Source organism: Homo sapiens, chromosome 18, assembly GCF_000001405.40.
Source record: "Homo sapiens chromosome 18, GRCh38.p14 Primary Assembly".
NCBI lineage: Eukaryota > Metazoa > Chordata > Mammalia > Primates > Hominidae > Homo > Homo sapiens.
Window position 1 is genome coordinate 25,921,295 of NC_000018.10, and position 21,632 is coordinate 25,942,926.

The window sequence follows — 21,632 nt, forward strand, 5'->3', positions numbered from 1 at the left end:
TCTCCCCCTCTTCATCTTTGTCCTTCAGGGGTATGCTTCTATCATAAAGACTTTACTCGTGATAGCTATAGCCCAGATTTCTGCCTTGGAAACACAAAAACCAGAGACCAGAGTCTACGGCAGATGGCGAGGGCTGCCAGAGTGAGAATTATGGAGAGAGAAACAAACATCAATGCAAAATTATCTTCTACCACATTTGTTATTCTGGTAGATCTGAGCATTCCTGCAAAAGAAACTTACTCTTCCTCTACATGTCCCCAGCAAACTGGGTCTCTGCCCCAAATTCAGTTTTTTGGAACAGTAACTCTCTAGCAAAATACTCCATGGTACGGTGGGTGCTAGCTTCCCCAGGCTCAAGTAGGGAAGCCCTTTTGCAGAGCCAGTTTCTTGCCTCAGTTATCTGGGGATGGCTTATCTAGGAGCCCGTCAGCTTCTCCTTTCTGCATTTACTGCCCCATCCACCAGAGGGAGTCTGGCACCAGACTAAAGTGAATTTTGTGCGAAGGTAAAATGGACACCCCGTCAGTGCCTGGCTTCAAGATGGTAGCCATGAAGGCAGCGAGTTCCCTTGTTCAGATCTCCAGTCTGCTCTCTTCCTCCTCAGTTGAGGCTGGGTGAGCACCTTATGCAGGAGGTGGAGAATTGTCACCTGATCTTCCATTCTCAGGAATCAAGAGACCACATGCTATGATCTGTCTCTCCTTTCCCAAGACCACCCCGATTCTACCTTAGTTTGGTCAGTGCCAGTGGCGGTGCTCTAGAATATGCCATGAAAAGTTCACTTTTTTCTTCCTACAAGAAAAGCAAAAGGAAGGAAATTTGTGTTTCCCTAAACTCTTGCAACGCTCTTCAAAACATTGTCCTTCTGAGCCTGGGCAGTGTTCCGCACACTCCTGCTTCAGTGTCTGTCTCTCCGACTCCAAGGCACAGTCCCCCACCCTCAGCAAGTGCCCTAGGCCACTGCAGCAAGGTGTGTGCCTGTTTGAGTGTCAGGCCAGCTGGGGCAAGCGAGATTCCACCTGCACATCCGAAATGTCTGAGGAGAGTGAAGGAGTGAAGGACGTCCCATCCCAAAATGTGTTGAATTGGTATACTGATTATTTCAAGTTACAAACGTTGGAGAAACTGTAGTTTCAGAAAGGGCTAACTGACCTGTCTCTTCCTACAGGCAGCAAACCATAAGGATTCCTCTGGGAGGCCGGCACGGTGGCTTACACCTGTAATCCCAGCATTTTGAGAGGCCAAGGCAGGCGGATCACTTGAGGCCAGGAGTTTGAGACCAGCCTGGCCAACATGGCTAAACCCTGTCTCTCCTAAAAATACAAAAAAATTAACTGGGCATGGCGGCACGCCCCTATAGTCTCAGCAGGAGAATTGCTTGAACCCAGGAGGCAGAGGTTGCAGTGAGCCTAGATCGTGCCACTGCACTCCAGCATGAATGACAGAACAAGACTCAGTCTCAAAAAAAAAAAAAAAAGCAGGAAAAAGAAATCCTGGATCCAGCTCCACCCTGGACAAGTACAAATCGTGGTTTGTACCTCTTTATTTTCATTCATTAGCTGTTTTTACACTAATTCACTTAATGCCTGTATTAAAACCACATTATTGTAGGGTGGTAGGAGTGCAGTCCTCGTAAATTTGGAATCCCCAGGTTGGAATCCCCAGGATTATGTGTAAGTTCTGAGGGGGGCCTCACAAAGTGCTAAAATGTTTGGTCACTATAGGAGGCCATGAAGTGTTCATTCTTCATTCCTTCCTACCTCCCATCCCCCCACCCTGGGCCCACTTGTGTCTCCACAGATGCCACAGCACTTGTGGGGGCACAGGAACCCCTTGCTGTTTGGGTGCCATCTTGTTCGTGGTCTGTTCAGGCTAGCACTCTAGCCACCTCTCCTGGTACTGCCCCCGAAGTGGGGGCACAGAGCCCCCCTCCAGCACCCACCAACAGCTCTGCTCTCCTCCCTTCCCCTAGCCATCCCCTCCACTCCCTGGCCCAAGGGAGTTGTCTCTTACTCCAAGAGAAACCTCTCCTCAAATCCTATTCCACCAAATTCTTAACCTCTATCCCAAATCTCAGTTCTATCTGAGGCTTAGATTTTGCAAACCAAAGCGACTTCCTCTTTCTCTTGGACACCTTTTCACATCACTTCCTTGAGGCAATGACCTAGAGAAATTACTTTAATGGAGTGGGGCAGAAGAGGGAAAGAAGATACTAATGGTAGGAGAGAGAGAAAAAACTTCGGTTAATATTTTTAAACACCACCACGTTGCATCTGCTATTACCTGATTTAAAATTGCAATGTTCTTAAATCTCAGATGACGACAGTGATTGAAAGAAAGATGCCTTCCCTGCAGGCTATTGTCCTTTATTCTCCCATCCTTAGTACTCTTTGTTTAACCCCAGCCTGGAAGTTTGCTTTACACTTTCACCCATAAGCCTGGACCCATTTTTACGCAACCACCTCTCTGTCCATTATTCCACTTAGCCATTCTTCTGCCTACAGCTCTTCAGAGCGCTTAACATTTCATTAGGTGCTTCATCAGGAAGACAAGGAAGAAGTGAAGTATCTCAAAATGACTGGCTTCGTTTGCCAATTTCTTTGTTTTGCACTAGAAAGCATTTCTGCAACTCAGTTGGCATATTCAAGCACAGTCAAGAGAAACTCCTCTTGTCAATTCCAATTCCACTCCATTTACTGGCACACATAGTTGAATGGGCTGTTTAAGTGGGGTTGTTACCAAATGAAATGAATTTGAATTTGCATTACATATACTTTCAATTATTTATGGTTTGGGGTAACCCATATCAGTGACTTTTCCCCTCTACTCTCCTGAATCATCAAGAGAAAGCAGAAGGAAAAGTAACTCAGCACTTTTTGCAAGGTCTGATGGTGATTACTGCTTACTATGCTGAACTGATCTTCATTAAGAGCTTCGTATCAAGGCTTCTTCCCATAGACTTTCAGACCTTTGAAGATCTTTGGGTCTAGGGCCACCACTCCATGGGGCCAGAAGAGACCAAATGTGATTGGAGAGGCCCTGCTAGATCCCAACTGTTCTACCCTCCTGAAATCCCCAATACTGAAGCTGCTTTTAAGGCTGCTTTCAGAAAAAAAGTCTTAATTAGACACTATTTGAGTAATTCTTTTACGGTTTAGGACATGGCCCTTTAAAGGCCACTGTTAAAATGTATTTTCGTGGCCTGCTTGCCATGAGGAGTCTCCCCTAATTTTCTCCCATTACCAGCTTAGTTAACCATCACCCAGGAAGGCTCAAAGTATCTGGCTCTTCAAGGGAGGGTTTCTGTGTAAATAACCTCAGGACTGTGTCCTTAATGGTGAAAGGATAGAGCTTGATATTCCATTATTAAACAGCATATTAAGTTCATGCACAGACTCCGGAGAATGTGTACCATGGGACCTCAGCTTAGAACACAAACAAAAGGTCTAAGTCTTCAGTTAAACCTAGGAAGCTAAGCACAAAATAATCAAGTTAGGCATCTCTTCATTCCAGGTCTGGAGATAAACACATATTCTTAAACCAGTTCTTTTTTTATTTAATTCATTGTCATACAACTCATTTCCAAAAAAGTTTATGCAAGCATTTTGGTGATTTTCTTAAGTCTTTTCTTACATAAAGAAGAGCCATATTGGAAAATCGCGGTGGTATATCATTAAAAAACAGATAGGAAATTATGAAGAACTGATATGGTAACTAAAAGTAGATTACAGAATAAAAGCGTAAAGAAAAGGAACATAAACAAAATTAAAGGGCAGCATTTGGAGGTCCGTTAATTGCGTGGTAATTGGGAGTCAAAGCAGAATCTATTTAGAATCCACAAGGCCTATTAGGAGTCCAGAGGACCAATAGCAAGTCAACCAAAATTAGGAAAAGAAATCAGATTTTAATTGTAAACAGAAGACTAATCATTAGCTGTTCCCTTTCCCTAGAGTAAGTCATGGATAGTTGCCTGACATTTTACATTTTACTTTAAGTACAAAGAAAAAATTACACAAGTGGCCTACTCATTAGCAGGTTTTCCTGCATTAGTGGCCATCATAAATGTAGCTAAAATCCAAGGTTTAAAAACATCTTCTCAATTTCTTCCTAACAGCATACTTTCAAAATTGTCTTTTATTCACTCCAGGTCTACTATTGCAGACAGAAGACCCCACTTTTCATACATACATAAGAGCGCACCCATGGCTTCAACCAAGTCACAGACCAATCAGCCGTACATTGAAAATCCAGTTAACTCCAACTTTCAGGAGTGTAATTCACTGCTAAGAGGCAAAAAAACTGTTCAATAGCTGTCATGTTCATTTGGTCAAGGTAAATTAGGTCACCATAAGCCACGATTACACACATTATGAGACAGGATCAAATGATCCTGAAATTGGTAACATCTTTTAATAACCATGCTTATTACATAGGAGTTAAATATGACCTTTAATACTTATTCTTGCTATAATATCTTTACCTATATTAGGGCTTCAATAGCCAAATACGTTAGAGTAGCCCATTGATGAGTTAGAAATGATAAATTATTACGGACATTGTTGAAATGACAGATTATACACTAGTCCCCTTCTCACTGCAGTTTTTTGTTTTGTTTTTTGAGACAGGATCTTGCTGTGTCACCCAGGCTGGAGTGCAGTGGCGCTATCATGGTTCACTGTAGCCTCAGCCTCTTGGGCTCAAGCAATCCTCCCACCTCAGCCTCCTTTAGTAGCTGGGACTACACACGCATGCAACCATGCACAGCTAACTTTTTAATTTTTTTGTAGAGACAGTCTCCCTATATTACCCAGACTGGTCTCAAACTCCTGGGCTCAAGCAATCCTCCCACCTTGGGCTCCCAAACTACTGGGGTGAGCCACTGCTCTCGGCCTTAACCACAGTTTTAATTTTCAAGGGTTCAGTGACCCACGGTCAAATGTGGTCCAAAAATATTACATCACTACTCTTGCACTTTGGGGCCTCTGTTAAGTAACATAAGAGTTACTTGAACAGTACAATAAGATATTTTGAGAGAGAGACACTACATTCATATAACATTTATTACAGTAGACTATTATAATTGTTCTATTTTATTATTAGCTATTGCAGTTAATATCTTACTGTTCTTAATTTATAAATTAAACTTTATCATAGGTGTGTATGTGTAGGAGAAAACATAGCAAAGGTTGAATATCCCTAATCTGAAATCCAAAATGCTCTAAAATCTGAAACTGTGAACACTGATATGATGCCCAAAGGAAATGCTCATTGAAACAATTTGGACTTCAGATTTTCGGGCTGGGAATTCCAAACGTGTAAATACAATGCAAATATTCCAAAATTAAAAAATCCAAATTCAAAACACTTCTGTTCCCAAGAATTTTGGATAAGGAATACTCAACCTGTGTATATAGGGTTTGGGCATCCACTGGGGATCTTGGAACATACCCTCTTCAGTTAAGAGGGGACTACTATATTGAAAAGCAACCTTATTTGATTTTACTTTGATACCTCTATATTGTAAGATCTATATTGATCTATGCAGCTTCTAGGAACATTTCTATGGTATATAAAGGAAACAGAAATAGCTCTACTTTTTAAATTTCATTAAATATAGTATTATTAGTGTTAACTACTACTTCCTAAGTAGAGTTTTTAACTTTTTGTTTGACTTTTTTTTGTTTGGGCACAAACTTTATAACCCAAGGGCTCCATGTTACATAGTTTTTAAAAAGACTGTACTGGCTGGGCGTGGTGGCTCACACCTGTAATCCTAGCACCTTGGGAGGCCGAGGCGGGTGGATCATCTGAGGTCAAAAATTTGAGACCAGCCTGGCCAACATGGCAAAACCCCGTCTCTAGTAAAAATACAAAAATTAGCCGGGAATGGTGGCAGGTGCCTGTAATCCCAGCTACTCGGGAGGCTGAGGCAGGAGAATCGCCTGAACCTGGGAAGTGGAGGTTGCAGTTAGCTGAGATCGCGCCACTGCACTCCAGCCTGGGTGAAACAGCGAAACTCTGTCTCAAAAATAATATAAATAAATAAATAAATAAATAAATAAATATAAAAAGACCGTACTAAGTATTTCATCCACTTTAGCACCTGGTAGGTATAAGGTACTGGGATGGGCATTGGAAAGGCTATTAAAATGTATAAAGTAGCATAGGACTAATAGAATTAAAGAAGTACCACAGGAGCTCAAAGGAGGAGAGGTGGCTTCCAGGGCAAGGATCAGGAAAGAATTCATGGAAGTGATAGAATAAGAACTAGACCAAGAAGAGTGAAAAGAATTCTGGTAGGCAGCTGAGCAGATATTTCATTCAGTTACTCAGTGTATATTTGTTGAGCCATAACTGGTGCTGGAAAATGTCATGGGTGAAGGAAGGTGCAGAGGCAGATACACTCAAGAATGTTAGCATAACTGCTGGCAGACGGGCTAAATTAAATGCAGCATAGTTACAGGGCTGTGGTGAGAAATATGGCTTGGGACCGACTCATGAAGGTCCCTGAACATCAGCTGAAGGAGTTTGGACTTCACTTCTGGGTAACATGAAGCCATTAAAAGGTTATAGCCAATAGGGACCACTAGAGTGACAAGAGAATAAGATCAAAGAGACCACACCAGAGAATATCAAATTGAAGGAGGAGACAGTGGTCAGAAACGTTGAACTGGAAGAAAATGATGTCTCAGACACCAGAAAGTAAAGGTTCATGAAACAGAGAGTGAGCAACAGCACCAGATGCTACAGCGAGGTACACAGGATGGAAACTGAAAATGGGCAATTGGGAGCACTTGGTGAATCAAATGTGAGCAGTTCAGTTGTTTTGCAGGAGCAAGAGCCAGAATGCTGTCTATTTGGAAGAGCAAATGAGAGGCAGGAAGGAGACAAAAGCCAGGGCAGAAAACTCTTTCAGAAATAGGCCCATCATGGGCTATATTGAGGGACAGCTGTGTCTTGTCCAAGGACAGACTTTTTTAAGATAGCGTGGATCTGGGAGTGTGTGGGGAAGGAGCCTTAGGGAAGGAGCCAGAGGACAGGGGAAGTTTTAAGAGACAATGGGGAACAAATGAATCTGCTGATAAAGTAAGAATTTATAATCTAGGAAGTCCTTTATAAGAAGCAAGAAGAGGCCAGGCATGGTGACTCACACCTGTAATCCCAGCACTTTGGGAGGCCAAGGAGGGTGGATTGCGTGAGGTCAGGAGTTCAAGGCCAGGCTGGCCAACATGGTGAAGCCCCGTCTCTACTAAAAATACAAAAATTAGCCGGGCATGGTGGCGCGTGCCTGTAATCCCAGCTACTCAGGAGGATGAGGCATGAGAATCACTTGAACCCAGGAGGCAGAGATCATGCCACTGCACTCCAGCCTGGTCAACACAGCAAGACTCTACCTCAAAAAAAAAATTAAAAAAGAAGAAGCAAGAAGAAGAGAACAAATGCCTTGGTTTTCCAGCACTCCGAAAGCATACCACCACAGAATCAGGCAAGACATCAAGATGTTGAGGAAAAAATGACAAAGGAGACAAAAACTGGAAACTCCAATCGGGGTCAGAAATCTAAAAAGTGAAACACAGTTGTCCAGTATATAGTGATGAGAAACCTCCCCCAAAGTGACCTGAAGCACAGTCCAGGACCATATTTCTGTACACCTGATTGCCTCTGTGGCCGAATGGTTGCAAATGTTCCTGATGATAAAATGAGTTCTGGGCTGGACCCTAGCCCCTCTTGTCAAAGACTGGCACTTGTAGGTGACCCTCAGAAAGGGTAGGAGGGATTTCCCAGCTGTGGGCCTGATGGATTCAGCTAGGTCTGTGGAAGTAATAGGAAGAATGAGAAAGGATGTTTATGTACCAAAAAAGGAATAAAGCATAGGCTGTCTCTGTTCATCTATCCTTGGCCAAACTGGTATAATTCTTGACGGAATTTTAATTAGTCAAGTAGAGGAGAATTAGAATGAGTAAGCAAAATTTAGCACATTATGCAAATGGTTTCAAATAAATTCCTAAAAAAGTGACCCCAAATGTTTCACTGAAAGAGACACAAATCTCTGAAATGAAGTAAATTTGCTGTTGAATTTCTGGAGTGAACGCTTTGAGGAGAGGGCTTGTCCCTAGAAAATCTCCAGTTGCTACCACTTCCGAAAGGACACCTCCCCGTAGACCACTGAGCAAGGTTATATTGTGAAAGACTCAGACTGAGGAGAGGGCTACAAAGAGGGCTACAAGCTCTTGAAGTTATCACCAGGCCTCTCAGCTCTGCCTGTTAGAAGGTTAATCCTAATTCCTGTAAATGAACCAGATTTGAAAATAGGTGCTTATGAACGGAATCGGCCCCAATGCCACAGCTCACAAAGCAGCCAGGCGAGTAGCCTGTTCAGCTCACCATTCAATGATAATAGGTTTACCAAGTGAAATAAAGGCTAGGCTGGGGATAGGGGAGAGTATTTTACCCTGTTTGACCTCTTAGGAAAGTCACCCAGTGTGTCCTAGGGGAAAAGAGCTGATAGGAGAGAAATACAGACATGCTCTCTTATCTGGGTTAATAATCCCTTGTTACAGAACCAAAATAGAAAAAATAGATTCTGATGACTTTCGTGATTGTCTTATTTGTTTTTATTTTATGTACTGCAGTGGGGCAGTGTTAGCCTAGTTCTCCTGCTCACTCTCCACTACTGGAACACAGCGCTCTGCAACTGAACCCAACCCACAAACACTTAAAGGAGCAGCATCAATTCTTCCAAATTTCTTCCAGCTCATATCCCTGAAGGCACCCTGTGTCCCCACAGACCACATACACACACAGGCATGCCCAGAATTCTGGACAGCCCTTCTCAGTGAGAGGTTGGGTGGGACAGACTTAGGTGGACTAAACTGGGGAGATCTAAAGTACAGCATTGCATTACATTGTTTGTTTTACCAACCCCACAATTCTGCTTTTAAGAAATATTTAAGTCAATCTATCTGTGCAAAGAGAAAAATTATACGGGTTATTAATTCTGTTTATGCCTTTTTACATAAAGATCATTGGGTTTTCAGACCACTGGTTCTGCACACACATATACACATCACATTTTAGCAGCCTGCATGAGCTCCTTTGCAAATGTTAATGTCTCCTTCTTAATGGGAATTCTTGTAATGAATGTGTGTATGTATGTATGTATGTGTATATATATATACACATATATATATATATGTACTATATACAGTGGATGAGCAAAGTTTACTCTTCTGATTCCCATCACCTAATCAAAAATAGAATACAAGTACATTATTTTAAACACGTACAAAATTTTAAAAGGAAAGGAAAACACAAAAAAGAAAAAATATATATATCTTTGAGACAGAGTCTCATTCTGTCATCCAGGCTGGAATGCAGTGGCACCATCTCCACTCACTACAACCTCTGCCTCCTGGGCTCAAACTATCCTCCCACCTCTGCCTCCCAACTACCTGGGACCACAGATGTATGCCACCACGCCCAGCTAAATTTTTGTATTTTTAGTAGAGACGGGGATTCACCATGTTGCCCAGGCTGGTCTCAAACTCCTGAGCTCAAGCGATCTGCCTGCCTCAGCCTCCCAAAGTGCTGGGATTATAGGCATGAGCCACCACTCCTGGCCAAAAGAAAGAAAATTTAAATCATTCATAAGCCTCTACCCAGAGATAAATGCTGTTATCATTTTGATATTTGTATTTCTTATCTGGTTTTCTATGCATAAGTACATGTTGTTTTTTTCCTCCAAAATAGTATACTGTGTATACTTTATTTTATATAAAGATTTTTTTCATATGTCAGACATATTTTTCCATATCAATAAAGATTATTCCAAGCATGATTTTCAAAAAAAGCATAATATGCCATAGGATTGATGTACCTTGTTATTCAATCATCCCCTATTTTTGGATATTTAAGTTGTTTCCAATATTCATTATCATTAGTCAAATTGTATTGAACATCCTTTTATCTTTACTTAAATCCAGAATTATTTCCTTAGGGTAAAATCTTGTAAATCAAATTGCTGAGTCATTGGGATTAAGCAATTATTAAAACTTTCTATATTTTGCAAAATTGCCTTTCAGAAAGATTATACCAATTTAAATTCCCACCAGCAGTGTATCAAAGCGCATATTTTCCCACTTACCAACAGTGGGTTTCCTATTATTTTGACTTTCTGTCTTTTGGGAATAGGACTTGTTCTGACCATGTTCTCTAAACTAGTAAATTAACAGCATTATTAGAGTTAAACATATTCCCATGATGTCTTTCGTAAACCTGTCAGGCCAAACTAGCCATCAACATATTAAATTTGATCATTGAGCCACTGTTCTAACGTGACTCCCAGACCCTCAGTTCCTGTGGCTAGTCTGTTCCTTTTCATCCACACGAAATGTTTCTGATTGGATATCTAAATGCTCTTAAGTAAAAATAAAGATAATTTCAAACAGTTGGGGATAAAGATTCCAAATATGGTTCTATAAAACGTAATGAGGTTTTGAATTGTAAACTCTCAATTGAGGAGAGAGTGTTCTGTGATGACTGTGATGCTCGCGGGAAGATCTAAAGAGTAAACAGCTCAGATCCCTGAACGGACCTCTGCGGAATGAAAGCTGGGTAAGAGCTAGCAGGAGTGAACAGAACAATATCAGAGTAAATAGACTGTACCGATTCCAGGAGATAAGATTGATAAAATCCAGCATAGTGCTAATATATCCCACCCACATAGTCGTATGAATAGGATTAGCTTATGGAAATGTGCAACCTAATATATATATATATATGCATGCTATGTCAGGCCATGGAAGCGGGCTTTTTTAATGTAATGAACAAAATATCTCTCTAAGGAATCTTCCTAACCCTGGATCTAAGCCTGGTAGAACAACATAAAACGGGATGTACTGAAAATAATTGTTTAACTAGCACTGCTAGTACACATAAAGTTAAAACCCACACCCAATTTTCTCATCTAAAACAGCGTGAAACTCAATAATTACTATGAGAGGTAACACCTAGAAATGTTTGACAGGGAAACCCATTATTGCTGTGTAAGGCTGCCACCTGGCCTCCTCCTCGTCAGCCAAAGGAGTAAATGACTCCCCAAATGCTTAGGGAAAGCTGACACGCTGAACTAATCTTTCATTTATTGATTTGCTAGCTCACTGAAAAAAAGTAGTATATCAATAAATGGCTTTACTTAAGAAGTTAAGGTCCAAGAAGAAACAATGAAGATTTGCTGGAATATATTGAGTACAACAGAGTTTATAGAAAATGAAATCAAGGGCTTCTGGGAGAAAATTGATGTCTGGTAAGCACATAAGAGCATCAAACAACATAAACTTTAAGATCAACAAACCTTAAGATCTACTTTATAATGTCCTTCCTTTTTTCTGCCATCTTATTTGTATGAAATAAAAAACAAAAACAATAAACTGGGAATTTTCAGATAAACCAAATTAAGAGCAGTAAGCGGAATGAATAATTTAGAACGCTAGGATCCAGTAAAATATGATTTCCTAACTTAGGACTTTATGCTTAATTATAATGATCAATTAAAGAAATCTCTGTATGAAAATTAAAAATAGGGAACCCTAAAATGATAAAACTAAAAAGGAAAGTAAAAGAGAAAAGGCAATGATGTAAAATTAAAATAATCCTTAATTCTGAAGATGAAAATGGTCCCTGAACATACTTAAATTACTTCTCGGCTCTTGCAGTCTTATATTACTCTTTCATAAGAAGAAATTGTAAAATTTCCCTTTACACTAACAGAAAATGTTGCTGAAGCACATTTTTTTAGTGTCTGAAACATGACATATTACTAATTTCGGGGTTGTATAAAACTATTTCTTAATAAACATGGAAAGTTCATTTTGAATAAAATGCTAAATAAATTAAATAAGTATATGTAGTAAAATATTTTGGATGTTTTGAGTAATGAAGAGAAGACAGTCCCATGATGTTATTCCTCAAAACAGTTACTAACATTTTTGTGTATTTCTAATATTTTTAATTTGAATTAATGTTTATTATGCAGTTGTTATAGGGCACATAAAAAATTGTGTATCTTCTTTTCATTAAATAGCATATTAAAAGGCTTTTTATTGATACATAATATTATACATATATATGAGATACAAGTGATATTTTGTTACATGCATAGAATGGGCAATGATCAAGTCAGGTTATTTGGGGCATCCATCATCTTGAGTATTTATTATTTCTACATGCTGGGGACATTTCAAGTTCTCTCTCCTAGCTACTTTGAAATATACAACATGTTATTGCTAACTATAGTCACCTTACTCTGCTATCTAACTTTAGAACTTATATCTTCTATCTAATTGTGTGTTTGTACCCATTGACCAACCTCTCTTCATTTCCCCCCACCTGCCTACACAATTTTCCTAGGCTATGGTGTCTATCATTCTACTCTCTACCTGCATGAAATCAACTTTTAGCTCCCAGAAGTGAGAACATGCGACATTTGTCTTTCTGTTCCTGCTTTATTTCACTTAACATAATTACCTCCAGTTCCATCCATGTTGCTGCAAATGGCATAATTTTGTTCTTTTTTATGGCTGAATAATATTCCATGGTGTATGTATACCACATTTTCTTCTTCCATTCATCCATTGATGGACACTTAGGTTAATTCTGTATCTTTGCTATTGTGAACAGTGCTGCAATAAACATGCAAGTGCAGACATCCTTTTGATAGACTGATTTCTCTTCCTTTGGATAAATGCCCAGTAGTAGAATTGCTGGATTGTATGGTAGTTCTATTTTCAGTTTCAGTTTTTGTTTTCTGTTTTTTGAGGCCAAGCCTCACTTTGTTGCCCAGGCCGGAGTGCAGTGGGGCAATCTCAGCTCACTGCAACTTTCGCCTCCCGGGTTCAAGCAATTCTCTTGCCTCAGCCTCCCAAGTAGCTGGGATTACAGGCACCTGCCACCATGCCTGGCTAATTTTTGTGTTTTTAGTAGAGACAGGGTTTCACCATGTTGGCCAGGCTGGTCTCAAACTCCTGACCGCAGGTGATCGGCCCACCTCGGCCTCTCAAAGTGTTGGAATTACAGGCGTGAGCCACTGCACCCAGCCTATTTTTAGTTTTTTAAGAAATCTCCACACTGTTTTCCATGGTGACTGTATTAATTTACATTCCCACCAACAGTATGTAAGAGTTTGCTTTACTCCACATCCTTGCCAGCATCTGTTATTTTTTGTCTTTTTAATAACAGCCTTTCTAATTGGGATAAGGTGATATCTCACTGTGGTTTTGATTTGCATTTCCCTGATGACTGGTGATGTTGAGGATTCTTTCATATATACCTGTTGGCCATTGGTATGTCTTTTTTTCAGAAATGTCTATTCCTGTCCTTTGCCTACTTTTTAATGAGATTATTTGGTTTTTTACACTGTTGAGTTGTTTGAGTTTCTTGTATATTCTGGCTATTAGTCCTTTGTCAGATGAATAATTTGCAAATGTTTTCTCCCATTCAACATGTTTTGTGTACACTCTGTTGATTGCTTCTTTTGCTATGCAGACACTTTTATCAAAAGCATTTTATTTTATTTATTTATTTATTTATGACAGAGTCTCTTTCTGTCACCCAGGCTGGAGTGCAGTGGTGCGATCTCAGCTCACTGAAACCTCTACCTCCTGAGTCCAAGCAATTCTTGTGCCACAGCCTCCCGAGTAGCTGGGGCTACAGGCATGCACCACCACACCCGGCTAATTTTTGTATTTTTAATACAGACAGGGTTTCAGTATGTTGACCAGGCTGGTCTCAAACTCCTGGCCTCAAGTGACCCACCCACCTTGGCCTCGGCAAGTGCTGGGATTACAGGTGTGAGCCACTGCACCCAGGCATCAGAAGCATTTTAAATGTTACTGTGTGAGAGCTACCAAATGGTCTTGCCATTTCATTTTAATTTTTAGTATTTTTGTTGGACTTCTGAATTACATTTATGCATTGCTACACTATAGAAACCATCGTGATAAACATCTTAATGTATATTTTTTGTGCTAGATTGATTGCCAAAATGGCTAGCTGTGTTTCCCCTTCCTGTGCCCATGCCCTCTTGCCATGTAACTACCAGTGCCCTCCCATTCTGATTCTGAGCTCAGCCATGTGGCTTGCTTGGCAAATGAGATATTAGCGAAACTTGAGACATACAAGTGCTTTCACATTGGGGTTTATTCCCCTGCTGCTCCTGGGAACTGTCACCATATGAACAAGTGTGGACTTGCTTGCTGGTTCATGAGACACATAGCTTAGTTGCTCCCATACCTTCTGCAGACCTGCCAATCACCAGACTTGTGAGTAAAGCCATCTTAGATCATGCAGTCACCAGCCAACACACCACTGAACACAGATTTGGACAAACCTAGCTGAAACTGGCAGAGCTAGCCTTGACAAGGAGAAATACCCAGTGACCACAGAATCATAAGCCAAATAAATGTTATTGTTTCGGCCACTTGGTTTTGAAGTGGTTTTTTATATAGCAAAATTCAAGTGATACAGGCTTTGTCTATATTTCCTTATGCTACTTTCTCAGAAATATATTTACTTGACCCCGGGGGCAAGAACATTGACTATTCTTTAATTATCACCTTCAGTGATAATAAATTATAAGAAACACCTACTTTCTCAACATTCGGTAGCCCAAGAATGCATTAGCCTTTAAGTAAATATTATCTGAATGGTTTCCACAGTCTTAGAAAGTTTTTTTTCAACTTTTATTTTAAGTTCAGGGGTACATATGCAGGATTTGCAGGTTGTTACATATGTAGGTAAACGTGTGCCATGATAGTTTGCTGCACGGATTATCCCATCACCTAGGTATTAAGTCCAGCATCCATTAGTTATTCTTCCTGATGCTGTCCCTCTCCTTACCGCACCGCCGCCCCCGCAACAAACCCCAGTGTGTTGTTCCCCTCCATGTGTCCATGTGTTTTCATTATTTGATTTTCTGTTCCTGCATTAGTTTGCTGAGGATAGTGATTTCCAGCTCCATCCATGTCCCTGCAAAGGACATGATCTCATTGATTTTTATGGTTGCATAGTATTTCATGGTGTTATATGTACCACATTTTCTTTATCCAGTCTTTCATTGATGGGCATTTCGGTTGATTCCATGTCTTTGCTATTGTGAATAGTGCTGCAATGAACATACGTATGCAGGTATCTTTATAATAGAACGATTTATATTCCTTTGGGTACATACCCAGTAATAGGATTGCTGGGTCAAATAGTATTTCTGCCTCTAGGTCTTTGAGGTATCACCACACTCTCTTCCACAATAGTTGAACTAATTTACACTCCCACCAAAAAAAAAAAAAAAAAAAAAAAAAAAAAAAGCATTCCTTTTTCTCTATAACCTTGCCAGCATCTGCTGTTTTTTGACTTTTTAATAATAGCCATTCTGACTGGTGACAGATGGTATCTCATTGTGATTTTGATTTGCATTTCTCTAATGATTAGTGATGTTGATTTTTTTCATGTTTGTTGGCCACATATATGTCTTCTTTTGAGAAGTGTCTGTTCATGTCCTTTGCCCACTTTTTAATGGGGTTGTTTTTTTCTTGTAAATTTATTTAAGTTCCTCATAGATTCCAGATGCTATACCTTTGTCAGATGGATAGATTGCAAAAATTTTCTCCCATTCTGTAGGTTGTCTATTCACTCTGATGATAGTTGCTTCTGCACAGCAACTATCCCACTTGTCAATTTTTGCTTTTTTTTTGCAATTGCTTTTGGCATTTTTGTCATGTTTAATTAAATCCCACTTGTCAATTTTTGCTTTTGTTGCAATTGCTTTTGGCATTTTTGTCATGAAATCTTTGCCCATGCCTATGTCCTGAATGGTATTGCTTAGATTTTCTTCTAGGGTTTTTATAGTTTTGGGTTTTATATTTAAGTCTTTAATCCATTGAGTTAATTTTTGTATATGGTTTAACCAAGGGGTCAGATTTCCGATTTCTGCATATAGCTAGCCAGTTATCCCAGCACCATTTATTAAATAGGGAGTTCTTTCCCCATTGATTGTTTTGGTCAAGTTTGTCAAAAATCAGATGGTTGTAGGTGTGTGGTCTTATTTCTGAATTCCTTACTTTGTTCCATTGGCCTATGTGTCTGTTCTTGTATCAGTACCATGCTATTTTGGTTACTTTAGCCTTGTAGTATAGTTTGAAGTCAGGTAGCATGATGTCTCCAGCTTTCTTCTTTTTGCTTAGGATTGTCTTGACTATTTGGGCTCTTTTTTGGTTCCATATGAATTTTAAAATAGTTTCTAATTCTGTGAAGGATGTCAATGGTATTTTAATGTGAATAGCACTGGATCTATAAATTACTTTGGGCATTATGGTTATTTTCATGATATTGATTATTCCTATCCATGAGTATGGAATGTTTCTCCATTTGTTTGTGTCCTCTCTGATTTCTTTGAGCAGTGGTTTGTAGTTCTCCTTGAAGAGGTCCTTCACTTCCCTTGTTAGCTATATTCCTAGGTATCTTATTCTTTTTGTAGCAATTGTTAATGGGAGTTCATTCATGATTTGGCTCTCTGCTTGCCTGTTGTTGGTGTATAGGAATGCTAGCGATTTTTGCGCATTGATTTTGTATCCTGAGACTTTGCTGAACTTGCTTATCAGCTTAAGAAGCTTTTGCCAGACCCTATTTTGATCCTAATTTTATTTATCTTGGCTTGGGTAGTAAAGTAAAGGTGATTTAGGACACAAGTTTACATTCGTTCTATATTGAAATAATAGTATTTTGGATATTTTGAGTTAAAACATATTAAAATTAATTTCACCTATTTTTTATTTTGTTAATGTTTGTAATCAGAAAAATTTAACATATGGCTCAGGTTTGTGGCTGCTATTATATTTCCATTGAACACTGTTGCCCTAGATGTTTTCAAGGTCTGGATAAAGGATGCTGATTTAAACTGCGCAGTAAAGAAATTAACTGAATGAAGTTAATTGCAATCTGGACAGAGATGAAGACTCACATGAGATGACAGTACTGGGTCAAAGCGTGGTGTATTGGTGAAGGAACTGTTTCTTTTCCACCCTCTGAAGGTTTGCTGAAATTAATTAATAGACAGATCAACAGGAGAAAAAGCACACAAATGTGTTAATGTGCAAGTGTACATGGAATTTGTACAAAATATGAGACTCAAAGAAGGACCAGGTGGCTGAAGGGTAAACAGCACTCTCTTCATAGGGGACAGAGAAATGACAGAATGTAGACAATTTTGGAATCTGGTTTTTAGGAGAATTAAGTAGGCCCCAAAGAGCAGACAATAGTTCGTAAATGATTCTCTTTGGAAACTGAATGGGACTGAAGAATAGGGCATAGCTTGTGACAAAGTCTGCCTAGGTGGGATGACATTCCTGTCTTCCTTCCTGTGATACGAGTTTAATCCTTTCTGGGCAGTGAAATTTCAGGGAGGGGAGTGAAGACCATTGTGTTTCTCCTGGAAGAGCTTCAGATAAGGAAACTTCAGAGAGACAGAGAGTTCCACTCTGTGCTGGGGGAGAAAGAGGAGAAGGTTAGAAAGTTCTTGGTTCTGAGGCTGATTCTAAGGCTTCTTAATTTCTTTTCATTCATACTGTTCCACGTATCAAAGTGCCATGCTTTGGAGTATTGTTTTCTAAGCCTCAACATTGCCCTGTCTAAAATTTTCCTAGAAGTTTCACACATTAAAAGCTGAGTTGGTGGCCACAGAAAGAAAAATTCAGTTTGTAGTTGAGTAGCAAATTATCTCATTAAACCAGTCTCCTATTCTTAAGATAGGTCAGTCCAATTAAAAAGTTCTTTGTCATGTCAATAGGTGACATTTTAGGGCTCTATTCATGAATAGTTTCTCAATTCTGGAGATATTAGGTAGGAAAAAAGTAAATGCTTCAAATCTGTTCACAAAGATATACTTTACCAAATTGCTGAAAGCTATAGCTAGCTTAAAAGGAACAAAGTTTCCTTAAATCTGGAAAACAAAACATGAGAAGAATAACCAATGTTTTGACCAAAAAAGCCATAAAAACCATGCTCTTTTGTCAGTTTTATTCCATGTGATTAATCTTTATTCTGCTTGATGTTGAGTGAGCAGTTTTCTAAGTTCAGTTTTTAGCAGAGTTCTGTAAATTCAGTCCAGTGGTATGAACTCAAAGTCATTAGAAACCTGTGCTTATCAGAATTCTTTTCATATATCTCCTTGAATGTACAACACTTTAGGATTATAACTGCTTGCAAAGAACTTTCAGAAGAAGCATCAGAATAAAGCAATTAACTGTGGGCAATAAGACTTAGAATAACCAAGGTTAAAGATATGATTGGAGTTCATTATAATGATGCAATTAGCATGAAAATTATATTATTTTGTGGCCTATAACAATTTAATAAGATAATCATACTATATTGTGACCAATGACATATTAGATTTTCAGGAATATACGGTTTCTGAACACTCACCAATAACATACTTATAAAATTTTAAGTCAAAAAAATTAAACATCATTTCTTATTTGTTAGTCCATCCAATATAATTTTAACATTTCCAATAAGCCTAATTAGTTTAATATTTCTCTGTTGAACTTTCAGGGGCCCCATGGAATATCCAAAAGATAGTTTGTGGTCAAAAAGGCTTATGTTGATTTTTGAGAGGTTTGTCAAGTATCAAACATTTAAAACACTAGGTCAAAATAAGATCACCAATCATTGTGAAATAATAGTCATTCATTTAGCCAGAATGATAATTAAAAGTCTTGAAAAGCAAATACAGGAATTTACATAGTTGTTAAAAAACAAACAAAAACTTTACTCTTTGAGAGGATACTTGGTTTCCTTAAGTAATCAAAAGACCTAATAAAGACAGCATGAGGCACAAATAATGTTTCTCACCTCCCTCACTTCGCTTTTGCAGTTCACTTTAAAAGGTAAATAAAAATCTTTTGCTACCTCTTGGCAGTACTACATGAAAATCTTGTTTAAATGAGAAGACCAAATTTTAGTTTTGTATCGGTGTACTTTTGATATTAAGGCTCAATTTTAAAACCTGTTATAATAAATTTATGTAATCATAGTCAGTTTAACCACATAAGATTATCTTTTGCACTCTTCCCCCCATCTTTTTATATTCACTTCTTTTTGTCTATAATGTTTTATCTTCCACTTATCTATTCTGAAATAATTTTTAATACCCTCTAAACTAGATAAAATTACTTTTTTCCTGAACAATAACACATGTCCATATATCTTTTTAAATAACTTTTCTCACCCAAAACACATTTTTTCCTTGTACACTTTGTATACAAAATAGTTTCCTTTATTTTTAGTAATTTTAATTACATATAATAATTAGAATTTTTAACCCTAAGTAGCCTTAATTTTCAGTGAAAACCTAGGAAGCAAGCAATTTTGAACTGTCACGTACCAACATTTTATGAATACATATCTTATAATTTTAAGAAATATAGGCCTTTTCATAGAATAATCTTTCAATGTGAACTGGACATATTTATGTAAAGTAACCCTTGATATCCCCAAGAGCCAGAGATTAGGGAGTTTAATGCAAAAGAGAACAGAGCATCCGATCTGAGAGGAATACCACCCATGAGTTTCAGAGCTCCATGAGGGAGACAGAGGACCCCAAAAGTGGGGGGTCAGTGGTGTCTTTTGTGTGTCCTTCAAGGTGTCCCAGGGTCATCAAAAATCTCATTTAGGTTCTTCATGTGATAGAACTCTGATATTCCCCCTCAGTAATTTTTAATTTGCTGGCCGCTAAATGGAGGGGAACATATTTCAAATATAGAAGTCATTCCAATTCAAAGAATTCATCATCTGGTCATTAACAATTAGGACCTCCAACGGTGTATTTATTGCAGTAGCAGCTCAATTCGATAAGCCTCTTCATGGAAAGACCAGGAGGTAATCTTCTAGGTTTAGAATAAATTTTTAGCGTGAAAGCAAGAGGCATTCTCAAAGAGGGTGCAGAAGATGCAGCTCTTAAGATCCCCCAAAATTCACTTTCAAAAATAGATTAAGATAGTGTAAAGACCTGTATTAGCATAGGCAGTTAAGAATCACATTTGCAGTCAGGTGCGGTGTCTCACATCTGTAATCCCAGCACTTTGGGAGGCTGAGGTGGGTGGATCACGAGGTCAGGAGTTCAAGACCAGCCTGGCCAAGATGGTGAAACCCCGTCTCTACTAAAAATACAAAAATTAGGTGGGCACGGTGGCAGGCGTCTATAATCCCAGCTACTCGGGAGGCTGAGGCAGGAGAATCACTTGAACCCAGGTGGCAGAGGTTGCAATGAGCTGAGATCGTGCTACTGCACTCCAGCCTTGGCAACAGAGTGAGTCTCTGTCTCAAAAAAAAGAATAACATTTGCAAATGGTGTCTCCAGTCCACTGCAAAATGTGGAATGGCATTAGTCACAGACCTACTAATCTGTGACATCAGATAGGCACATCCGGGATTGGACTTTCCCAGCACTAACCAGACAACAGAGGTAGAGATGACAAAAGCCCCTTATGGATGGAATTTATTAAGATAAACTTCCCTGAGAGCTTGGCACATTTAGACAAAGAGAATGCTGCTTAATAGCATTTTGTGTCTTGGGTTCCTAGTCTTTTCAGACTGGCCACCTGGCACAACCTGACAACTGTACTTCCCAGCTGACAAAGAACAAGAAAGAGAGGTTCTGGCTTGTTCACAAAGCCAGGATCTCAAGACACAAAACAAGACAAGCAAGGAACCTTATTCGTTTTTTGTTTCAGGGACCCACAGCAAAGTTTCTATGCCAGGCTGGTGAGAACCACGCACTCATCAGTCTATAAGGACGGCTCAAACAATGGGCTTATAAGGGCTTTAGGCCCATGTTCTACCCAAAAAAGGTTGTCCTTTTTACAACAAACAACCCATGAGACAGAGACAAAGGAAAACAAAGACCATTTCTGGGAAAAAAGAGATCATCCAATATGAGTATTCATACCAAAAAAATATATACCAGAATTGCTATACGCAAGGACTAGTCTGTACAAATGATTTTATCCTACTCTTCTAAATTTGCAAAGAAAAAAGGAACAGGCAGTGATTTTTGCTATCCACTCAACCTCATTCCGTAAGCTGGAATCAGATCCAAGGGGCTGAGTAGTAAGAATTCCTTACCCTTTCATCAGCTTATCGGGTTCTAGGTTCTCACAACTGCAGTTTCCAGAGGAACAGAGCAGTTTTGCATATCCTGCCAACTGTGTCAAATCTAAAGGAATGAATACAAAACTTCCCCTTCGCCCTCTGAAGGTTTGCCGTGAACTGACAATAGACAGGTCAACAGAAAAAGCAAACAATTTTATTTTTTAATATTGATTATTGATTGATTGAGACAAGGTCTGGCTCTATTGCCAAGGCTGGAGTGCAGTGGTGTGATGTTGGCTCACTGCAACCTTCGCCTCCTGAGCTCAAGCGATCCTCCCACCTCAGCCTCCTAAGTAGCTGGGACTACAGGCACACACCACCAGGCCTGGCTAATTTTTGTATTTTTTGTAGAGATGGAGTTTTGCCATGTTGCTGATATAGGAGTTAACAAGGAATTATTTAGGCAAATAGTGAGGGTAAGGAAGTCCTCA

General features: G+C 39.2%; 1 annotated feature.

Moving 5' to 3' along the window:
* Positions 544-643: an enhancer, noted in NCBI's record as "active region_13176". NCBI's record gives its function as "activates an Ori minimal core promoter by ATAC-STARR-seq in GM12878 lymphoblastoid cells {active_cell/tissue: GM12878}" and the evidence as "EXISTENCE:reporter gene assay evidence [ECO:0000049][PMID:35858748]".